We start from the raw sequence: 23,402 nt of genomic DNA, 5'->3' as shown, positions 1-23,402 counted from the left end.
AATTAATTCAAGATGGATTAAAGACTTACATGTTAGACCTAAAACCATAAAAACCCTAGATGAATACCTAGGCAATACCATTCAGGACATAGGTATGGGCAAGGACTTCATGATTAAAACACCAAAAGCAATGGCCACAAAAGCCAAAATTGACAAATGGGATCTAATTAAACTAAAGAGCTTCTGCATAGTAAAAGAAACTATCATCAGAGTAAACAGGCAACCTACAAAATGGGAGAAAATTTTCGCAACCTACTCATCTGACAAAGGGCTAATATTCCTTTGTCAGATGAGTACAATGAACTCAAACAAATTTACAAGAAAAAAACAAACAACCCCATCAAAAAGTGGGTGAAGGATATGAACAGACACTTCTCAAAAGAAGACATTTATGCAGCCAAAAGACACATGAAAAAATGCTCATCATCACTGGCCATCAGAGAAATGCAAATCAAAACCACAATGAGATACCATCTCCCACCAGTTAGAATGGCGATCATTAAAAAGTCAGGAAACAACTGGTGCTGGAGAGTATGTGGAGAAATAGGAACACTTTTACACTGTTGTTGGGACTGTAAACTAGTTCAACCCTTGTGGAAGTCAGTGTGGTGATCCCTCAGGGATCTAGAACTAGAAATACCATTTGACCCAGCAATCCCATTACTGGTTATATACCAAAAGGATTATAAATCATGCTGCTATAAAGACACATGCACATGTATGTTTATTGTGGCACTATTCACAATAGCAAAGACTTGGAACCAACCCAAATGTCCAACAATGATAGACTGGATTAAGAAAATGTGGCACATATACACCATGGAATACTATGCAGCCATAAAAAATGATGAGTTCATGTCCTTTGTAGGGACATGGATGAAAGTGGAAACCATCATTCTCAGCAAACCATCGCAAGGACAAAAAACCAAACACTGCGTGTTCTCACTCATAGGTGGGAATTGAACAATGAGAACACATGGACACAGGAAGGGGAACATCACACTCCAGGGACTGTTGTGGGGTGGGGGAAGGGAGAGGGATAGCATTTGGAGATATACCTAATGTTAAATGACGAGTTAATGGGTGCAGCACACCAACATGGCACATGTATACATATGAAACAAACCTGCACATTGTGCACATGTACCCTAAAACTTAAAGTATAATAATAATAATAATAAAAATGGTAGACCTAAATCCAAATATAAAAATAATAACATGGAATATAAATGATCTAAACACACCAATTAAAGTATTTAGATTGTCATAATAAATAAAAATAAAATCGAAACCGTAAACTGTCTAAAACAATCCCATTTTAAAATGATGATATGGATGAGCTAGGCATAGTGGCATATGTAATCCCCACTACTTGGAAGGCTGAGGTGTGAAGACCACTTGAGCCTAGGAGTTTGAGGCTAGCCTGGGCAACAAAGTGAGACCTCTTCTCTAAAATAAATAAATAAATAAACAAATAAATAAATAAATAAGTAAAGATATGGTTAGGATAAAGGCAAAATAATAGAGAAGATAACTGCAAACAGTAATGGAGAAAAAGCTTATGTGGCTATATAAATATCAGATAAAGTACACTTCACAGTAAGTAAAATTACTAGGGATAAAGAGAGACACTACATAATGATAAAATCACAGATAAACATAATAGCCTAAGCATTTATATACCTAACAACATAATGTCAAAATAAAGGTAAGAGAAATAGGAGGAGAAATTATAGTTAAAGACTTTGACATCTCTTTCAGTAATCAGTAAAAAGGTAGAAATAAAATCAGCAGGGAAAAAGAGGAACAAATATAATACCACAGCCAAATGGATTTAACTGATACTTATCTAACAAATGGATTTAACTGATACTATCTAACAATAACAGAATACACATACCTTTCAAGAACACATGGACATTTATCAAGATAGATTATATCCTTGGTCATAAAATAAACAACAACTTAAAAGAAATAAAATCAAACAAAGTGTATTTTCCAACCATAATGAAATTAAATTAGAAATCAATAACAGGAAGACAATAGTAAAATCTCCAAACTGTTGAAAATTAAACAATATACATCTAAATAATAAGTCAGAGAGGAAATCCAAAGGGAAATTAGAAAAATGGAACAAAAATTATCGAAATCTGTGAGATGCAGTTAAAGCAGTGTACAGAGGGAGATTCATAGTATTAAATAACCATGCTAGCGTGAAGATGTCCAGAAACCAGTTTCTACTTAAGAGATTGCTCTATCAAATAGAGGTCAGGAGCAAACACATGGGGGAACTCAAGTTGTATATTCAGGCTCTGTCAGATTACAGGGAGTAAGAGCAAGCTTAGGGAACCTCACTTAGTGAGAGTCTGCATGGAGAATTAAAAAAAAAACCGTTAAAAAAAGTTAGAAACACATAGCATTCCTTCACTGGAATCTAGTCTTTGTTCACCATCATCCAGGGTGTAACAAATGCATGGGCTTTGAATTCAGGCATATTTCGGTTCTGATCCAGGATCTGCACTTACTAGTTAGATGATCAGAGGCCATATACTTGAGTCTTTGGCATACAGCAAGTCCTTAATAAACTCCCAATAATAGTGGTGGTGGTAGTAGTACCAGTAGTAGGCAATAGCTTTAGAGATGCAACAGCCCCAGCAGTCTGTGTGCTATTGATTCAGCTCCTACATTTCTGCCTTTCACTGCTCCTTTCTTCTTCATTTATTCTTCCTCCCCTTAGACCTGGTTTTGGGGTCCTTCAGGATTCTGTTTAAAGGATGAGCCAGGGTTCTGTGGTTTAGCAGCACTAACAGCACAGGGAGAGAGTGTTCCACACTGAGCATTTATTAGCTTATTTGGTTCCTACCAGGACCCCACTAGGTAAAGGGTTTTATCTCAGTCTTACCAGTGATGAACGGAGATTCAATTTGTACGAGAATGAAGTTGACCAACTGTCAATCCTGTGCCATCTTTCTTACACCACACTGTTTCTGGGGAGACTTCAGATAGACGGCATTCCCTTTACTGTGTTTATTAAGCAGGCTTTTGTCCCTCTGAGTTTTAGGAGGCCACTTCCTATAGCAGAGCTGCTAACCTATAGCAAAACTGACTTGAGTTTTTCTCTCCAGTTTCCATCTACCATCACTTGGTGGAAGTGCTAAAAGGCAGTGAAATGATTAAAAGTAGGTAGAAAAAAGAAGCGAAGGGTCACGGAAATCCACCAACTGGAACATCCTTTATTAAATACTCAAGAATAGATTGCTTGCATGCATGCTCTAATTTGGATTGTTAGGGAGTTCCCAGGGGAGCCGTCAGAGGATTATTTAAACCTAACAGGCTCTGTGCCTCATTCCCTCAAGTCCTCAATGTTTTGGCAAACCACGTATTAGAAACTGTTCCACGTCTGCTTCCTTCGATGGAGTTTGCAGAGATACCAGGGACTATCTCAGGGAAGCAAGAAGAGCTCTGAGTGCAATGGGCCCCACCCCAGGAGACAGCTCCCTCTGGCCTTCCTCAGCTTCTCGTGATAATCCATTTTAGTGTCTGCATCTCAAGACTTTCTTGGCAGAAGTATCTCCTTATGATAACCTGCATCCCCTGTATTGCCACTTAAGCTCACATCCTCTGGGAAAGGGAGAACAGCTGGTCACCCTTTTCTGCATAACTATCCCTCAGGAAATCAAGCACTTGCTGGTATTTTTAATACGTGTTGAGATTACTGATGCTGCCAAGATTCTTGTTGAAGGGTGTTATGTCTCTTTGCTTTCTATATCCCAAAATGACACTGCTGGTGAGTTGTTTTCCACGTGTGTCAGGAGAGCTGAAATAACAGAAAATGTCTATATTTTGGAAGATATCTGTATGCATATTGTCCGTAGCCTGGTGGTAGAATCTGTTGCCACCTAGGGCCCTGCCTCTAGACCTTGCAAGATTATCTAATGCCTTTGCTCAAACATTCTTTTGTTCTGTGCCTTGTCCCCTTCCAAATCTCTAGGATTGCTGAGTTGCAGGAGCCTCTCTCTTCTTCAGTTCCTGAGTGTTGCTCAGTTATACCACATCCTTTGAAAGGGCTTCCTTCATCGTCATCACATTTCATTAGCCTTCCTGGCTTGAGTTCTTCTGCTACAGCTGCTTTCAAATCCTGGGGTCAGTTTCTATTCTGTCCCAATTAACGGGCTGTTCTTGAATTGTGGTGGCTGCCTACACTGTTGAAATTTAGCTACCAGCCTTACCTTAAACATTTTGCTCTTTTCAAACAGTGGTCCTTAAACTTGAATACACAGTTAAATTACTTCTGGAGCTCTGGTAAAATACAGATGAACAAGCACCATCCCACACCTGTTGAATCAAAATGAGCAGAGAAGAGATCCTCATGCAGATTATTAAGAGAAAGGTTCTATCTGAGGTTCCGAAGTGACCAACGGTTAAGTGATTCTGAACTATCTCTAAATAGCAGTGGTTCTCAGGTTTAGTGTACTTCAGCATCACCTAGAGGGCTTGAGAAAACACATTACTGTGTCCCACCCTGGAGATTTGCTTTAGTAGGTCTGGGTGGCATCCAACTGTTTGCCTTTCTACCAAGTTTCAAGCTGGTATTGATGCTGCTGTAGGATCACACTTTGCAAATGACTCTTTTAGAGAATCTTTTTACTCTCTGGTTTACAGAGTTAATACTTTGTACAAGATAAAGGAGAACATAGGTGTCACAGACATGTTTCATTCCAAGTGAATTTACTTGACCAGAGATAATGACTGTGACCCAGGATTGATAAGTTAAAAGCCTAAGCAGGGAGGCACCCCACCAGACATGATGTATGCATGAACGGACCGAGTGGACATTGGTTGATTTCAACCTGCCCGACATCTCTTCATTTATCTTCCATTAAAAATTAAATTGATAAGATTTCTCTTATCAATAACATATTCCATATAGATCGAATGGAAATAACTCCTTCTTCACTTCCATCATGGAGTGGACACATGCCCTCGACCTAACCCATTATAATTCTGCATTTCTTTGTCATAGTTTTTGGATTAGGGGAGGATCCATCACCAAAGTTAGACAGTGAGTGCTCTTTCTGAATTTTGCTGAGATTCTCAGAAAAGAAGCATTCTTTCCTTCCACCTTGTAGAAAGAGCCTGTTTGGGGGAAACAACAAAACAAAGCAAAATCAAACAAAAATAAAACCAGAGAAAAGAAAAGCTGAAAGATGGAAGGGGAGAGAGAGAGAGGACTGAGGCGGTATGTGAGGCAAGTCCTCTGCTTGAGCCCCTGCTCAGTCACACACCCCAGCTCCTCAGCGACATGAGAAGAGCATTTTGGTTTTAGTTAAGCTATTTTGCATTGAATTTGTATCACCTTCAGCCCTAAGAGTTCTGTCTAACACAATGCATACTCCCAGATTTCTACCATCCTAAGCAAATTCCTGTCCCATAATAAATTGAGGTTTTAAAACGTGCAAAGAATGAATGCACTTTGTGTAACATTATGGTGTACAAAAGGGTCCCAGTGGTCAAATACATTTGGATAATACTTCAAATTATATCACTCATGTAAAACTGCATTTCATATATTGGTATATTTAAGAACCTCAGAAGTTCTGAAGTAAATAAACCATTTATTTTTTTTCAAATTTAGCATTTCCCTAATATATTTTACCATAAAGACTCTTTTTGTGGAGCTGGCTACCCATCATCCCTAGCTTTCATTTTACTTCTGTGATGAATTTGAGGAAATTTTACAATGGTCTATAGGTGAAGTATCATTCTTACATATAAGCCATTCCTCCAGAAAGCACATTACACCCATTATAGAGGAAATACTTCTTGAAAATAAAAGGCATAGGGCCCCTTTCTTGGAAGAATCTCTCTATAAATAGTATTAATTTTTTAGCTTAGACTATGAAAGATTAAGTGACGTGATCAAAGTTAGGGAAAGATTGTCTTTCTTTGATTTGGAAAGAGACCTGTATTTTCTCAGCAGCTGGCCTCTCTTTCCCTTAGAGTTTTGGAGCTTGGCCTCAAAATCTCTCTGGTGTGGTGAAAGGGCTTTTGCACTGGTTCTTTGCAAACCTGTAAAGATAAGCATGTGAGCCTAAAGGTCATTACTTCCTGGGGAAGAAAAAAACTCATGGCTTGAGGTTAGGAGGAAGAGCAAACCGAAGGCACATTCTCTTTTCCTTATATTCCTGCTGGCACAAAAGCAATTCTCTGATTCCTATCTACTCTGATTCCCTCAGCTACTTTTAAACAAAGGGAAAAATAATTCTGATGAGAACAAAATATTTATTTCTTCCACTCCAGTGTGGTCAGGGGTAACTCAGAAAGTTGGCTGAAACTTGAGTGCTGAGTGATGGTCTCTAAGCATCATCCAGCTCTGCCAAGTCCCTGGCCCTCGGGGCCACTCTGCCGGAGCTGAGGTTTCCTCTGCACTTCTTATACTGCAGCCCAAGCTCCAAGGGCCAGTGCTTCTTTCTGTTCAAACTTTCTGTTCAACCAAGCTTCACTAAGTAGGCACTCTGCCCTCTACAGCCATCCACCATCTTGGTCACCACATTCCTTGATACCAAAACCTTACCAGAGTCAACACATTGCCAGAATTGCATGACATTTATTGTGTGGCACTGAAGGGAGAGATGCCTCTTTCCCTTTCATTTTTGTGTGTTTATGCCCCTTCAAAGGGATTGCGAAGCAGCACTGTATATGACTGATTTCTTAAAGATACTTCTGTGAAATAACTCAGAATAATTTTGGTTCCTGATTTCATGAGAAAGAAAAGGTAAGTTTGATGAAGTTGTGATTGGAAAACAAATTTCAATAACTGAAACCGAGCTGTACTCAGAAATGCCCCTTGGTGGCAGCCAACACTCTGTTACTGAGGTGAGCCCTGTGTTCCTGACTTGGTCTTGCCCCAAATGAAGTTCTCCAAAGATGCTCCTCAGTCCCCATGAAAGCGGGCTTCTAGAGCTCTCACTTCCCCTGCCTGGATATACCTGAGTCCCATATTCAAGCCAGAATGCTCAATACAAGGTCACCAAATGAAATAGCAAAGATAGCAAAGGTAATATGAAGAGAATACCATTGATATTTTACACATCTTGAGTGACTGGTATTCACAGAGGTACAAGCGTAGTTTCCATTTACCTTCTTCTATGTCAGGGGCTGGAAAAACATTTTCTTTAAAGGAGCAGACGGTAAATATTTTAGGCTTTGCAGGCCATCTGGTTTGTGTCTGAATTACTCAACTCTGCTAGTGTAGCTCAAATCAGCCATAGACAATATGCAAATGAACGAGCATGTTTGTGTTCCAGTAAAGCTTTATTTACCAAAACAGGTGGCAGGCCAGATTTATTCTGCAGGTTGTAGTTTGCCAACCTCTGTTTCATGTGATTGAGGTATTTCAAGATCTTCTATCTTTGAAGTGTAAATGAAATGCTTGTAATTCATTTTGCTGATCTACATATCGAAAAAAAGCATTTGATTGATATTTTCTTTTGTTGTTGTTGTTCTTGGTCTTCCATTTAAATGTTCAGTGCTTTATAATTATGAACTGTTGAAACATGCCTTTAAGGTCTCGAATTGCAGTTAACTTGGGAGCTTGAGATATGAACAGTCTGGGAAATGTTTACTTAACTCAGTCATATTGCCAGAGCTAAGTAGGTATTTCTCAACCGCTCTCCCAAATACAGAAGTTAAACACAGCCTTAATGCTACCTCATGTGCACATGAAAAGACAGAAGAGGTACCTGATTCTTCTAAGACATCTATCAGCTTCTTCACTCCAACCCATTCCCAAGTAGTTTTAAGGCCACGATTATTTCACATCCACTTTCTGTAGCTGAGCCAAGACCATGCTATACACTTGATCTTAGCCAAAAGACTGAGAAGCAATCAAGACTACACTGTACAAACTTTCTCCTACTTTGTTTTCTGCCCTCTCTCCTTTGCTTTTCCATCCCTAGTTCCACCTTTTTGCAATTATGCCTTCAATGAGTGTCTAAAAATCGGCATATGCAAAATTAACATCAGGATTAAGAAAAAGATATGAAGAAATAAATATAGATGCACTATAGTTCCATGTAAGAGGATCTCAAAGTTGGAAAAATATTTCACTTTCTATTTCAAGAATAAGTTAAATATTCTTGCTTTTATTCAACAAACAAGCATGGAACAACCAGTATGTGCCTGACACTGTGTCTTGCATTTTGCACGGGTTGTCTCATTTAGACACTATTAGATTGTGCTGCCTAGTGACCCACTCCAAAACCTAGTAAATTCAAACAAGAAATAGCATTTTCATGATTGTATGCACTATTAAAAGGCAAAAATGGGCTTGTCTGCAAATATATCCCATTGGTTACTCTGCTCATGAAACCACAAGAAGATTTAAAAGTGAAATCTATCAACAAGAAATTAAGAATGTCATTTCACTGATAAATGATACTAAATAGTATTTTTAAAGTTTTCTTATTTTTAACTTTTCCCAAATATCCATTTAAAGGAAGAGAAAGCTGAAAGGGCACAAAACGCCTCTGAGAGCTCATGTCACAATTCTGCAGGTACCTCTTGTCTGGGACCTCATATGGGATGGCTGCTCAGCCCTCACCACCAGGTCCTCACCCTGAAGCCCACCATCCTGGGCTTGTCACCTAGTGGCAGAAGGCTACTGACAGCAAGAGAGCAGTCACCAATGTGCAAGCACTTTCAAGCCTCTGTTTGGATTACTTTTGCACTTGTTGCATTGGCCAAAACAAGGCACTGGTCAAGGAGTAGAGAAATAGACTTCACCTCTTGTAAGAGAATCAGGAAAGTCACCTTGCAAAATGTCATGCATACAGAGATGTGTGAATACATTGGGGTCATGATTACAACAACCTATCCCAGCCAACTCAATCTATCCAGTGCCTCAAACCACAAACTCCAGTATGGAATATAAAGGGAAAGTTTCAAGAAAAATCATCATACTCTTTTCTAATATGAGTCACTGTCATGGTACCAGGGAGATGCTGAAGGAAGAAACACAGTGAAGAGGTCAAAGCTAATCGTGGAGAGAAACTAAAAGACCATCACAAAGAGAAGAGGGGAAAATTGATATAAAGAGCTTCTGATAGAAGTCACCTTAAGGCACTATTTGTCCCTAAGAGGAATGTTAATTTTTTGATCTTAGAATAGAAAGGGAACAAGGAGAAGAAGAGATTAGAGCCAAAGAGAAGAGAAAAGGAATAAAGAAAAACAAAAGAGCTCATTGAATATAATGGGAATGGAAGAAGGGAGATATTTAGAGTAAAGGGGGTAAGCGAGAAGGCAAGAAGGAGTGAGTGAGTGACAGAGAGGGAGAGAGAGAGAGAGAGAGAGAGAGAGAGCACTCCACAGGGACCCTATTTAAAGGTCAGATGCACGACAGAGAGTTTATAAACATTTCTCAGACTGGTAGTAATGAGAAGGAGGAGCTTTGATTCTGAAACTTATTTTCCTTCATTAGTTAGTTTATCTTAGTTGAAATCAAACGCCAGAAGCAAATTCCCTGTAGACCGCAGCATAATAAATAGGTTTTTGAGGTCTTTTCTGCAAGCCGCTGAATAAGTATCCTCCGATCCTTTTATTATTTCCTCCTAAAAGAGAATTAGAAAAGGGTGCTGCCGGCACACAAGCCATAATATGACCACTGATGCTGGCAAACAGGAAGGCCCGCAGCTTCGTTGCCAGGGTGTGGGTGCTGTAACCCCGGGGCCTCACAGAATGGCTCTGCCAATTATACTGGGGTGGAATTATGGCTTTCTACCTTGTATAGCTGTCCCACCGGAAAAACAACGAACCAAAAATAATAGGGAAAAAAAACAAACCCACTCTGCACTTACTGTGGGCCCCAGAATGATCCTGTATTTAAGAACTGAACCCCTTATTTGGAGAATGCTTCTTCTTCCTTTTAGGCTTTGATTGTAATAGAAGAAAAAGTTAGCCTCCTCTGGTGCCCCAGTGAACATCAGAACACCACATAGTCCCGAACGCTTGGCAAGAATTTTCAAATGCACATAGAAGGTAATGTCATGAACATAAAGTCATTATTCCTCAGTGTACTTCCAACAGGCACGTTGGATCCTACAGAACTGAAGAGCCGAGAAAGGAATGAGATATGTGTTGCCTCTGATACGAGGAGTAGATGGCGATTGTATTGCAGGAATTGAGCAATGTACAGGAAACGCTGAACTCACAAGGGCTAAAATCTAGTGGCTGTTTTCATTATAATTAAAACTTTCAGGCTGCTTCTGAAACTCTGGATTTTAACTTTTTGCAGGAACCAGACCTTCCAGTTAGATTTCTAGCACTTCTTGCTCCCAGTTAGTGTTAAGCGGAGACCACAAAACAAAACAAAACAAAACAAAACAAAACAAAACAAAACAAATAACTATCTTCAGAGTTTGGAGGAGGGGAGGGAGTGGGAGAGGTACTGCGAGTGTGGATCTCTTTGCCAGTCATGGTCCAGTCATGGTCCATCCAGGAAAGAAGATACTACTTTTACTCTTTCACATAGAGAGGATTGAATGCTTGGAATTGGTTACACAGGCGATAGAAAAGCTGAAAGACCAAACAAAGGAAGATGATGCAATCAGAGATTATCAATAGCAAGAAGCTGCTCACATCCCAGGTAGCCAAGGCCAGCTGACAAGAACATGCTTTGGGACCTGGAATCCCAGGAGGCCCTGCAGTGGGAGCTGGAGCCACCCATATGCTGCTGGTGGAGATGAAGCTGGAGTGTTGTGCCCTTTCATTTGGGTGCATATTATTCTTTAGTTCACTAACTGTGTTTCTTAGAGTCTTCTGAAGATTCCTCTTTCTCTGACTACCTCCTAGGGATCCCTCCGTGGGTCTCTGGTCACCTCACTCTTCATACTCTTCCTGGGCAATGAGATCCACACTTGAGGCTTTGCTTTCTACTCAAAAGTTGATGATTCAGAAATGTCTCCACCCCAAAACTCTCTCCTGAGCTTTGGACTCCAGTAGTTAAACTACTACTGTATATTTTCACTCAGATTTCCTCAAAATGTATCAAACTTGAAAACTACAAGCAAAACAACCTCATGTTCCTTCCCGTGCACCACTGCTCCCCTGTCCAGATCAACGGTACCTTGGTGTATCCAGCTACCTAAGCAGAAATCTGGATGTCAGCGTTGAGAGTCCCACCACCTGGGGAAGAAAAACACCATTCATCTTCTTCATATCACACTTGGAATTTTCCCACATCTCTCCATCTCATGGCTTGCAACCTTTGGTTCAAGCCATCATCATTCTGTGCCTAGATTGTTCCTACAGTTTTCTGATCCATGTGCCTGTATCCTGTCTGGATCCTTTTCAGCCCTTCTCCACACTTCAACCAATGCAATATTTCTAAAAGGTACGTCCTTTTAATACCTTTCAGTGCCCCCTCACTGCCCTTAAGACAAAGTCTAAAGTCCTTAACATAGTTTATGAAACTATCAGAACATGACCTTACTTAACTCTTCATCCCAGTCCTCAACTTTTCTTCACTTCCACTCCTAACTCTCATCTCTTCTCTTTCCTTTTTCTTCTCCTCATCCTCCTCTCCCTTCTCTTCCCTCCTTTGCCCAACTCCCAGCTCAGGTTATGTGTAAACAATTGCAGTTTTCTTTTCTTTTTTTTTTCAGAAGGAGTCTCAGTCTGTTGCCCAGGCTGGAGTTCAGTGGCGTGATCTTGGCTCACTGCAAACCTCTGCCACCCGGGTTCAAGCAATTCTCCTGCCTTAGCCTCCCGAGTAGCTGTGATTACAGGCACCTGCCACCACACCTTACTAATTTTTGTATTTTTAGTAGAGAGGGGTTTCACCATCTTGTCCAGGCTGGTCCTGACCTCGTGACCCACCCACCTCGGCTTCCCAAAGAACAATTGCAGTTTTCTCAACATGCCATTTCTCTCATTTGCAAACTATCCCAGTAACCTCTCTTTTTGGAAGACCTCTTCCACACCATTAAGTTCTGCCCAACGCAACAACACAATGACCACCTTCATCAGGCTAAGTCCTACACACCCTTCCCTTACCTCTCTTCCTTACCTCTATGACTTGTTTAGATGGCTTTCCTCTTTCCCTGTAGAACTGCACTTTTTCTTTCGTAGCATTTAACATGATGTACTCTATTATCTTGTTCCTGTTATCCTATCTTTTTCTCCAAAAATAGCTCCTTGAGGATGTAGCTATTCCTTTTCCCCCACTGTATCTCTAAGACAAAGCACAGGGCTTGGCAGAAAGAATATCTATTTACTGAATAAATAAGCTCTTCTGTTTTAAATTTATTAAATATTTGCCTATAACAACTACGACTATTTTTGCTCATGAATTCACACTCTTGAAGATAATTATTACCTTTAAAATGACTATATTTTAAAAGGCATTTCAGTTTTGTAGTTGTACCGCTACATACCAAGCCTTAGGATGTTTGAAAAAACTGTTCAGTTATGTTCAATATATGAAAAGTATAATTTACCAGAAAGAAAATCTGATGGATAAAAAAGACTCAAAACTATACCAATGTCTTTTTATCCAAAGAGCAACTCAAAAATTTTTAACATTTGTCTTTATGAAGACATGAAATTGTCTATAAAACAAAGGCATAGACCTAAGACCAATGAATGGAAAGTATAAATAAAGCAGAGCTTCCTGAGAGTGAAGCTTACCCTCTGAAGGCATGGAATGAGGTGTGTCCCCCCATCACTAAGTAATCCAAGTGCAGATCAGATCAAATCATCAGATGGAGGTGGACTCCTCACCTGATAGTGAAGGTTCTTTCTAACCCAGCAGTATGATTTTGATTCTGATGATTTAAAAATTTACCTCTGATACACATAGAATTTTAGACCTGGAAAATATCTGAGAAGTTAACACAGAATCTCAGGGTAGAAACCTTGAAGAAAGTTATTGCATGAGCCTTTGAGTATGCCTGTTCGGTTGAATAGCTAGAATTTCTATTATTTTAGGAGAAAGTCCATTTTTTAAACTGAGATTAAGTAGTTTTCCATTTAGGATATTTTTAAATGATTATCTTTGAATGACAAACCTCTAACATATTAAATATAGTTTGAAGTAGAATTCCATAAACATCAGTTTTGCCTCGCAGCTGTTGACTGAGTATTCAGTCGGCAATTGGTAGTGTGTACATTTGGGTTGTTACCCAGCCATCACAAAACCATGAAGTTGCAAAGTTGACCTTTGTTGTCATTTGGTACCCCTTTTCTGCCCAAGTCCTACACCTACCTTATCTGTCAGGGCTTTACAGCTTTCTCCATGATTCCCAGATTCTTCCCTCTGTGATCCTCATCTGTAACCACTCATCCAGTTAGTGTGCCACAAACCTGTGGGTACATGCCAAGTCACCTCAGTTTCTCCAGTAGACTGGTTTTTGGAGACAGATTTTAGACCACATATGTGTAGAGTCATATTTGGGTACAAGCATGCACTTCTGAACAGGGCTGCTACATTCAACATTCCAAGAGTACAGTTTTTGACCATCAATTTCTTTTGCATTACAATTTATAAGGCTTGGACTCTAGGAAATAATCCCAGGACCTTTGTAATTCCTGCTGGGCTCTCTATTCCTGCTTTTTCACTCCATGGTATTCTAACTATTGGCCTATCCCATGCTGTGTTGGTTAGATAAAAGTGTACAAACATAAAAAGTAACAGAAAAGGCTGGAACAATTTACCAAAGACACATCAGTAAGTAAATTAATTCTATATCAAGTAGAAATCCTTGCTTATAGCATTAGCACTCCAGAATTTGTGCAACCCTTCTCTCTTACCTAAACTACATGTTTATTTCTCATTTCCTCAGGGCTCTGCTAAATGAATCATTATCTGATCTCTGAAAAGTCATTTCATTAGATTATTAATGCTCAGCATTATTTAATATCTTCTCCCAGAAAATATTTGCATTTTGAGAGGTTCCCTCAGTGTCTTAATCAAAATATTGATCAATAAGTTAATTTTAGGCATCATTCTGGACATTTAGGAGACATATTAAATCTTAGAGAAAGCCACCTATGCTTAGTCCTATTCTAATTTGTGGTTCTGATCATTAGGAAGTTTTTGAACCCATCCCCAAGAAAATGTTCCAAGCGTGGTTAGTGAGGTACCTGCTTTAGATCCAGTGGCCACAGTTCAGCTTCCAGACTTTATACCCCATGGCATTGTAACCCTGGACATATATATTGGCCCTCTCTCTAAATGATTCTTGCCATGGCAAGAAACATCATTAGAATTTGCCGTAAGTCATTTGTTACAGATTGGAAGTGCCCCACTGAGAAACCCCTTAAATATGAAATATTTATTTACTAAGAAATGCCTGCGTTTTTCAACTACTCATTACAATGGGATTTAGAAAAGTCATCCTGTTGTTGATGACAAAGGAAGTGACACACAGAACGGGTGTGGATAAATACCAGCAAGGGCTTTGCTCTCTCGGAGTTGGCCTAGTGTTGTTATTTGGCAAGCTTTCTTTTTTTCCCTAGCTGGTTTATTCATCTTCTGTTTACAGAATCTTGAGCCTCTATTTATACTTTAAAGGCAACAGAACTTTACTTAGTTTCTAAGGCAGCATTGCCTTAGGAAGATCATAGAACATATCCTGAGTGTGGCATTCGACCTTTAAAGATGGATTTGTTGTTCAACCCCAGAGGTGGATCTCTGCAGCATATTATTTTAAAGAGGGCAGTGTAGTCCACTTCACCGCAACCTAGAAAATAGCAAGCTATTTGCTCTCCGGCAGTGACCATTTTTTCCTAAACAAATGGAGATAATTGTCTATTTAATTTATGACTTGGGGCAAGTCACTTATTGCCTGAAAATGTTCATTGGAAAAGCCTGGCATTTTCAGACTAAAATATGCTATAATTTGGGCCACAGTTGGTTATTTATTTTAATCTAATCATCTTCTTTCATTTTTATATCATCAATATTGATTAAAGATATATATTTTTAAAAAACAGCTTCTTCCTGTTTCTACTAAATTACCTATTAAAGGCCCAGAAAAACATAAACATTCATAACAACAGAGAACATTAGAACTTACAAACAGCCCATTGCCAGAATATGCGGTAAATTTCTACTAATTACAAGGATGAAATAACTAGTTTGAAGTAAAAGGACCTTGATTAGGCCAAAAGCCAAGTGGTGAGTGTCAGAGATTAGGTTTCATGAGTCTGTAAGTAAGAAAAAAAAAAGGGTCCCACCTAAAGCAATACAGAACATCAAAAAATGGAGAGGCATTTTAGGTTAGAAACTTTTAAGGAAAAACAAATCTTATGCAGTAGCAACAACAGGTTTGGAATAACAAGAGCATTCACTAGATATTTGGTAAAATTTTTAATAAATGAACCTATTAGCCAGTCATTGCTAAAAATATCTGGTTTTTGTCCTGCTTTACCTGAGGAAAGTTAATGAAATTGATCTGAAAGAAGATTAAGAGTCTCTGAGAGATACCATCTACTCATCCTGTCAACACTGCAACTTACTATTACAGTAAGAAAATACAAAAGCATCCCTGAGAATAGAAATAAATATATTCCTTAGGTTTAAAGATTGCTAGGAAGAATCTAACGGCATTTTCTTAATATATGTAATAGTTTGGAATATTTTCCATTCTTACTCTAATTAACATTTATGAAATTAACAGGTTAGAAGAAAAAGTTCTAAGGTTTCTCCTTCAAAAATCATGTCCTAAACTTCAAGTTTAAAATTGACCCTCATGGTAGCCCATGACAAAGCTTCTCCAAAATGCCTACTAAATACCCCCAAAGAGGAATTCCACTGAAAGTGATAGCAGTGTAGGTTGTTTCAGATCAACAATCAGGCAGAATACAAGTCGAAAAACGGACAAAATACTTTAAAAAATCTGCTTGAAAGTATCAGAAATCTGTCAAGGTAATGATAGTTTCAAGATCAAGATTTGAAAGAAAAGGGAAATCAAGTGATTGCCAATTTCAGAATGAAAAGCTGTATGTGAATGGCCAAGAGGCTGAGCAGGTCTTTGGCAAATACAATGAGGTAGAAAGACAAAAGTTGCAGTTTAGAGACCAGGAAAGAAAGACCCTGGTAAAAATGCCAGCTTTTCACTTACTATCCTAAAGGCTACATCTTAGAAGTAATGGTAAAATGGAAAGAAGAGTCCTCACAAGGACTGAAACCAAATTTGAGTCTTCTAAGTTTCTAATAGATTAATATAATGTGACTCTAGTTTAGTTGTCTACCTGAAGCAAAAGTAAATCCTATTATTCTTAATGGAACATCATATAACACCTTAAAACTCCATTCTATTTTCTACAACACAATGTCTATACACAAACAAAAATAATCAGGCATACAAGAAGATAATAATTGGCCGGGCGCGGTGGCTCACGCCTGTAATCCCAGCACTTTGGGAGGCCGAGGCGGGTGGATCATGAGGTCAGGAGATCGAGACCATCCTGGCTAACAAGGTGAAACCCCGTCTCTACTAAAAATACAAAAAATTAGCCGGGCGCGGTGGCGGGCGCCTGTAATCCCAGCTACTCGGGAGGCTGAGGCAGGAGAATGGCGTGAACCCGGGAAGCAGAGAGCTTGCAGTGAGCCGAGATTGCGCCACTGCAGTCCGCAGTCCGGCCTGGGCGACAGAGCAAGACTCCGTCTCAAAAAAAAAAAAAAAAAAAAAAAAAAAAAAAAAAAAAAAGAAGATAATAATTAATCAAAGCACAGCAGAAAAACATACAATAGAAATAAATCAGTAGGAAATTTGATTTTGATAAATGATATTTGATTTATCAGACATGAACATTTAAATAACTATGCACATATACTGTGTGAAATGGTAAACTGAATATACTCATTGCCCAAAATTGATAAATAGATTGAAAAACATACCAATCAAAATATCAGTAGGCTTTTCGAATGGAAATTCATAAAATACATAAAATATGTATGGAAATGCAAAGGATCTAGTATAGTCAAAATAATTTTGAAAAAGAAAAAATATTGGAGTATTTATACTACATAAACAGAATAGAGTATGGAAATATACCTATACTTTGTGGCCACACTTATTTGACAATGTGCCAAAGAAACTCAATAAGGGAAAGAAAGTGTTTCCAATGAAACGTTCTGAGGCAATTAGATGTCCACATGGAGAAGATGAACTTCAGTCCCTATCTCACACCACATACAAATCTATTATTTATTTATTTATTTATTTGTTTGTTTGTTTGTTTTTCTTTTATTTCAATAGGTTTTTGGGAAATAGGTAGTATTTGGTTAAATGTGTAAGTTCTTTAGTGGTGATTTCTGAGATTTTGGTGCACCCGTGACCCGAGCAGTGCACACTGCACCCAATGTGTAGGCTTTTATCCCTTACCACCTTCCCACCTTTTCCTCCGGGTCCCCAAAATTCGTTGTATCATTCTTTATGTTCTCATAGCTTAGCTCCCAAGTGAGAACATACAATGTTTGGTTTTCCATTCCTGAGATACTTCACTTAGAATAATGGCCTCCAACTCCATCCAGATTGCTGTGAATGCCATTATTTTGTTCCTTTTTATGGCTGAGTAGCATTCCATAGAATATATGTACTGCATTTTCTTTTTTTAAAATTTCAATAGATTTTTGGGGAACAGGTGGTGTTTGGTTACATGAATAAGTTCTTTAGTGGTGATTTCTGAGATTTTGGTGCACCCATCTCCTGAGCAGTGGACACTGTACACAATGTGTAGTCTTTTATCCCTCATCTCCCTCCCATCCTTTCCCCTGAGTCCCAAAAGTTCATTGTATCATTCTTATGCCTGCCCGTCCTCATAGCTTAGCTCCCAGTTATGAGTGAGAACATACGATGTTTGATTTTCTCATCCTGAGTTCACTTAGAATAATGGTCTCCAATTCCATCCAGGTTGCTGCAAATGCCATTATTTTGCTCTTTTTTTTGGCTGAGTACTATTTCATAGTGTACATATATATATATATGGCACATTTTCTTTATCCACTTGTTGATTGGTGGGCATTTGGGCTGGTTCCATATTTTTGCAATTGTGAATTGTGCTGCCATAAACATGTGTGTGCAAGTATCTTTTTTGTATAATGACTTCTTTTCCACTGGATAGATAACCCAGGAGTGGGATTGCTGGATCAAATGGTAGATTTATTAATACTTTTAGTTCTTTAAGGAATTTCCACACTGTTGTCCACAGTGGTTGTACTAGTTTACATTCCCATCAACGGTGTAAAAGTGTTCCTTTTCCCCACATCCACACCAACATCTATTATTTTTTGATTTTTTGATTATGGTCATTCTTGCAGGAGTAAGGTTGTATCACATTGTCGTTTTCATTTGCATTTCCTTATCATTAATGATGGTGTATTTTCACGTTTTGTTTGAAGATTTAGGACTCTTTTTAGCAGTTCTTCTAGTGCTGGCTTGGTAGTGATGAATTCTCTCAGCATTTGTTCATCTGAAAAAGACTTTATTTTTTCTTCATTTATGAAGTTTAGTTTCACTGGATGCAAAATTGCTGGCTGATAATTATTTTCTTTAAGAAGGCTAAAGATAGGACCCCAATTCCTTCTAGCTTATAAGGTTTCTGCTGAGAAACCTGCTGTTAATCTGATAGGTTTTCCTTTATAGGTTACCTGATGCTTTTGCTTCATAGCTCTTAAGATTCTCTCCTTCATTTTGACTTTAGATAACCTGATGACTATGTGCCTAGGTGATAATCTTTTTGTGACAAATTTCCCAGGCGTTCTTTGAGCTTCTTGTATTTGGATGTCTAGATCTTTAGTAAGGCCAGGGAAGTTTTCCTCAATTGTCCCCTCAAATAAGTTTTCCAAACTTTTAGATTTCTCTTCTTCCTCAGGAATACCAATTTTTCTTAAGTTTGGTCGTTTAACATAACCCTAAGCTCCCTGGAGTCTTTGTTCTTTTTTATTATTATTCTTATTTGTTTGTCTTTGTCAGATTAAGATAATTTGAAAGCCTTGTCTGCAAGCTTTGAAGTTCTTTCTTCTATTTGTTAAATTCTATTGTTGAAACTTTCCACTGTATTTTTGCACTTCTCTAAGTGTGTCTTTCATTTCCAGAAGTTGCAATTGTTTTTTATTTATGCTATCTGTTCCTCTGGAGATTTTTTCATCCATAACCTGTATTAGTTTTTAAAGTTCTTTAAGTTGGTTTTTACCTTTTCCTGGTGCCTCCTTAAGTAGCCTACTAATTGACCTTCTGAATTCCTTTTCTGGCAATTAAGAGATTTCTTCTTGGTTCGGATCCAAGAGTCCTGTGATATATGATCCATCTTCAGGTCTCTCAGCCATGGATACCAACACCTGCTCCAGTGAGAGTAACAGGGGAGTGAAGCAGACTCTGTGAGAGTCCTTGGTTGTAGTTTTGGTTAGTGTGCTGGTTTTCTTGAATGCTAGTTGTGCTAGCATTGAAGTTGTAACATGAACAGACTCAGGACCTCTGGTTAGCCAAAAAGTTACAGGTAGAGGAATTAGCTGTTGTTTTCTCCTTCCTTGGAGCAGGATTGTTCTACTATGAGTTGCTGTAATGGCTTGAGTTGGTTGGCCTCCAGCCAGGTGGTGCTTTCAAGAGAGCATCAGCTATGGTATTATAGGTGGGGTACAAGCTTGCCTTAAGGCCACCTGGATAAGTATTTTGGTTTCTTAGATGACGGGTGGGGCCATAGAGCTCCCATGGGTTTATGTATTTTCCCTTAGGCTACTGGGGTGGGTAGAGAAAAGCCATCAGGTTGGGGCAGGGTTAAGTGTGTCAGAGCTCAGACTCTCCTTGGGCAGGGCTTGTTGTAGCCACAGTGGAGTATGGAGTGTGGTTCTCAGGCCAATGGAGTTATGTTCCAAGGGGGATTATGGCTGCCTCTGCTGCTTCATACAGGTTGCCAGGGAAGTGGAGGATAACTGGTAGTGACAGACCTCACCCAGCTCCCATGTAGTCAGCAAGGCTAGTCTCACTACTGCCATGCTCCCCCAACAGCCAACAGAACCAAATTAATATCCACGCCTCCAGTGCACAGGGCTGAGATCTTGCCCCAGGCTATAAGCCTCCCCACTGCGAAAGCAAGAAGGGCTTTCGGGCCTCAGCCCTCACTTCTGTGCTCATATCTGTAACTCCTGTTCACCCCCTACTCTCCCTACATCTCCAGATTCTGCACAAGAAAATTCGTGCTCAGTGAAAATTATTACAAAGATAAGCTGGAAGTCTTCTCCAGTTGGACCTTCCCCAACTCCACAAGCTGCCTTTTCCAAGGACCCCCATGACATAAAGTCAGAAATTGCTTCCCTGGGGGGACTGTGAATGCCTCAGTACTAAACACTGAGTACACATGGACACAAAGATGGACACAAAATAGACACTGCGGCCTACCTGAGGATGGAGGTGGTGGTTGGAAGGAGAGTAAGGATTGAAAAACTACCTATTGGGTACTATGCTCACTACCTGACTGATGAAATAATTTGTATGCCAAACCCCAGTGACATGCAATTTACCCATGTAGCAAACCTTCACATGAACCCCCTGAACCTAAAATAAATAGTGGAAGGATATACTTTTAAAGAGATAAAAATAGAAATGTCAACATAGGTGAGATAAATGCAAACATAATCACAGCTGGGACATCTTGCATGGCCACAGGCAAGACAGAGCTTGTGTAGGGGAACTTCCCTTTACAAAACCATCAGATCTTGTGAGACTTATTCACTATCATGAAAAAAAGCACGGGAAAGACTCACCCCCATGATTCAATTACCTCCCATCGGGTCCCTCCCACACATGTGGGAATTATGGGAGCTACAATTCAAGATGAGATTGGGGTGGGGACACAGCCAAACCATATCATTCCCCCCAGCCCCTCCCAAATCTCATGTCCTCATATTTCAAAACCAATCATACCTTCTCAACAGTCCCCCAAAGTCTTAACTTATTTCAGCATTAACTCAAAAGCACAGTCCAAAGTTTTGTCTGAGACAAGGCAAGTAGCTTCTGCCTATGAGCCTGTAAAATTAAAAGCAAGTTAGTTACTTCCTAGATACAATGAAGGAACAGGTATTGGATAAATACACCTGCTCCAAATGGGAGAAATTGGCCCAAACAAAGGGGCTACAGGCCCCATGCAAGTCCAAAACCCAGCGGGGCAGTCAAATCTTAAAGCTCCAAAATGATCTCCTTTGTCTCCATGTCTCACATCCAGGTCACACTGATGCAAGAGGTTGGCCCCCACAGCCTTGGGCAGTGACACCCCTGTGACTTTTCAGGATGTAGCCCCCCTCCTGGCTGCTTTCATGGGCTAGCATTGTCTGCGGCTTTTCCAGGCACATGGTACAAGTTATTGGTGGATCTACCATTCTGGGGTCTGGAGGACAGTGGCCCTCTTCTCACCACTCCACTAGGCAGTGCCCCAGTGAGGACTCTGTGTGGGGGCTCACACCCCACATTTCCCTTCCACACTGCCCTAGCAGAGGTTCTCCATGAGGGCCACACTCCTGCAGCACACCTCCACCTGGATATCCAGGCATTTTAATACATCCTCTGAAATCTAGGTGGAGGTTCCCAAATTCTTGACTTCTGTGTACCCACAGGCCCAACACCAAATGGGAGCTGCCAAGGCTTGGAACTTGCACTCTCTGTGGCAAAGACCTGAGCTGTACATTGGCTGTACATTTAGCCATTTTAGCCATGGCTGGGATGCAGCTGACCAAGTCTGGAGAGGTTGCTATGAAGACCTCTGACATGCCCTGGAGGCATTTTCCCCATTGTCTTGGTGATTAACAATTGGCTCCTCATTACTTTTGTAAATTTCTGTAGCCAGCTTGAATTTCTCCTCAGAAATCACATCATCAGGCTGCAAATTTTCTGAACTTTTATACTCTACTTTCCTTTTAAACATAAGTTTCAACTCCAAACCATATATTTGTGAATGAATAAAAGTGAATGCTTTTATAATAATAATAATGCTTTTATTTTAACTGTACCCAAGTCACTTCTTGAATGCTTTGCTGCTTAGAAATTTCTTCTGGCAGATGTCCTAAATCATCTCTTTCAAGTTCGAAGTTCCACAGATCTCTAGGGCAGGGGAAAATTCTACCAGTCTCTTTGCTAAAGAATAACAAGAGTCACCTTTGCTCCAAATCCTGACAAATTCCTCATCTCCACGTGTGACCAACTCAACTTGGACTTCATTGTCCATATCACTATCAGCAGTTTTGTCAAAACAATTCAAGAAGTCTCTAGGAAGTTCCAAACTTTCCCACATTTTCCTGTCTTCTTCTGAGCCCTCCAAACTGTTCCAACCTCTGCCTGTTACCCAGTTCCAAAGTCGATTTCACATTTTCAGGTATCTTTACAGCAGCACTCCACTCCTGGTAACAATTTACTGTATTAGTCTATTCTCAAACTGCTAATAAAAACATACATGTAACTGGATAATTTATAAAGGAAAGAGGTTTAATTGACTCACAGTTCCACATGGCTGGGGAGGCCTCACAATCATGGTGGAAAAGCATGCGACATCTTGCATGGTCACAGGCAAGAGAGAGCTTGTGTAGGGAAACTCCCTTTATAAAACCATCAAATCTTGTGAGACTTATTCACTATCACGAGAAAAAGCATGGGAAAACCCCCCGCCCCATGATTCAATTACCTCCCACCAGGTCACTCTCATAACACGTGGGAATTATGGGAGCTACAATTCAAGATGAGATTTGAATGGGGACACAGCCAAATCATATCAGAACATAAATAGTTTTGGCCAGTTGCCATGGCTCATGCCTGTAATCCCAGCACTTTGGGAGGCCAAGGAACGCAGATCATTTGAGGTAAGGAGTTTGACACCAGCCTGGCCAACATGGCTAAACCCTGTCTCTACTGAACATACAAAAAATAGCTGAGTGTGGTGGCACACACTTGTAATCTCAGCTTCTGGGGAGGCTGATGCAGGAAAATCACTTGAACCTGAGAGACAGAGGTTGCAGCAAGCTGAGATCACGCCACTGCACTCCACCCTGGGCTACAGAGTGAGACTCTGTCTCAAAAAATAAAAATAAATAAAAAACAAGAACTTACATAGTTGTAATGATTGATCCTTAAAAATATACTAAGACTCACTAACATCACCATGAAATATTTTTTTCTTAAAAGAGATGAAATTTATAGAGTATAACTATTGCTTCAAGCTGTTATACCAATATCTGTATGTTTTTCCTCCAGAATATTAGCTACAGGTTGCAACAAAGTAGAGAAGAACAAAAGGGAACACATATAATGTTTGCAATATTCCTGTTAAAAGTTCTTTTTTTTTTCATTTGCCAGCTTCTTTCATGTATTTGTTAGAGAAAAAATAGAATCATCTCCTTTAGTGCCTCAAATGGAATA

This window comes from Homo sapiens, chromosome 7 (assembly GCF_000001405.40).
Source record: "Homo sapiens chromosome 7, GRCh38.p14 Primary Assembly".
Classification (NCBI taxonomy): Eukaryota; Metazoa; Chordata; class Mammalia; order Primates; family Hominidae; genus Homo; species Homo sapiens.
The sequence above is the reverse complement of the archived record's forward strand: the minus strand, read 5'-3'. Positions refer to the sequence as shown.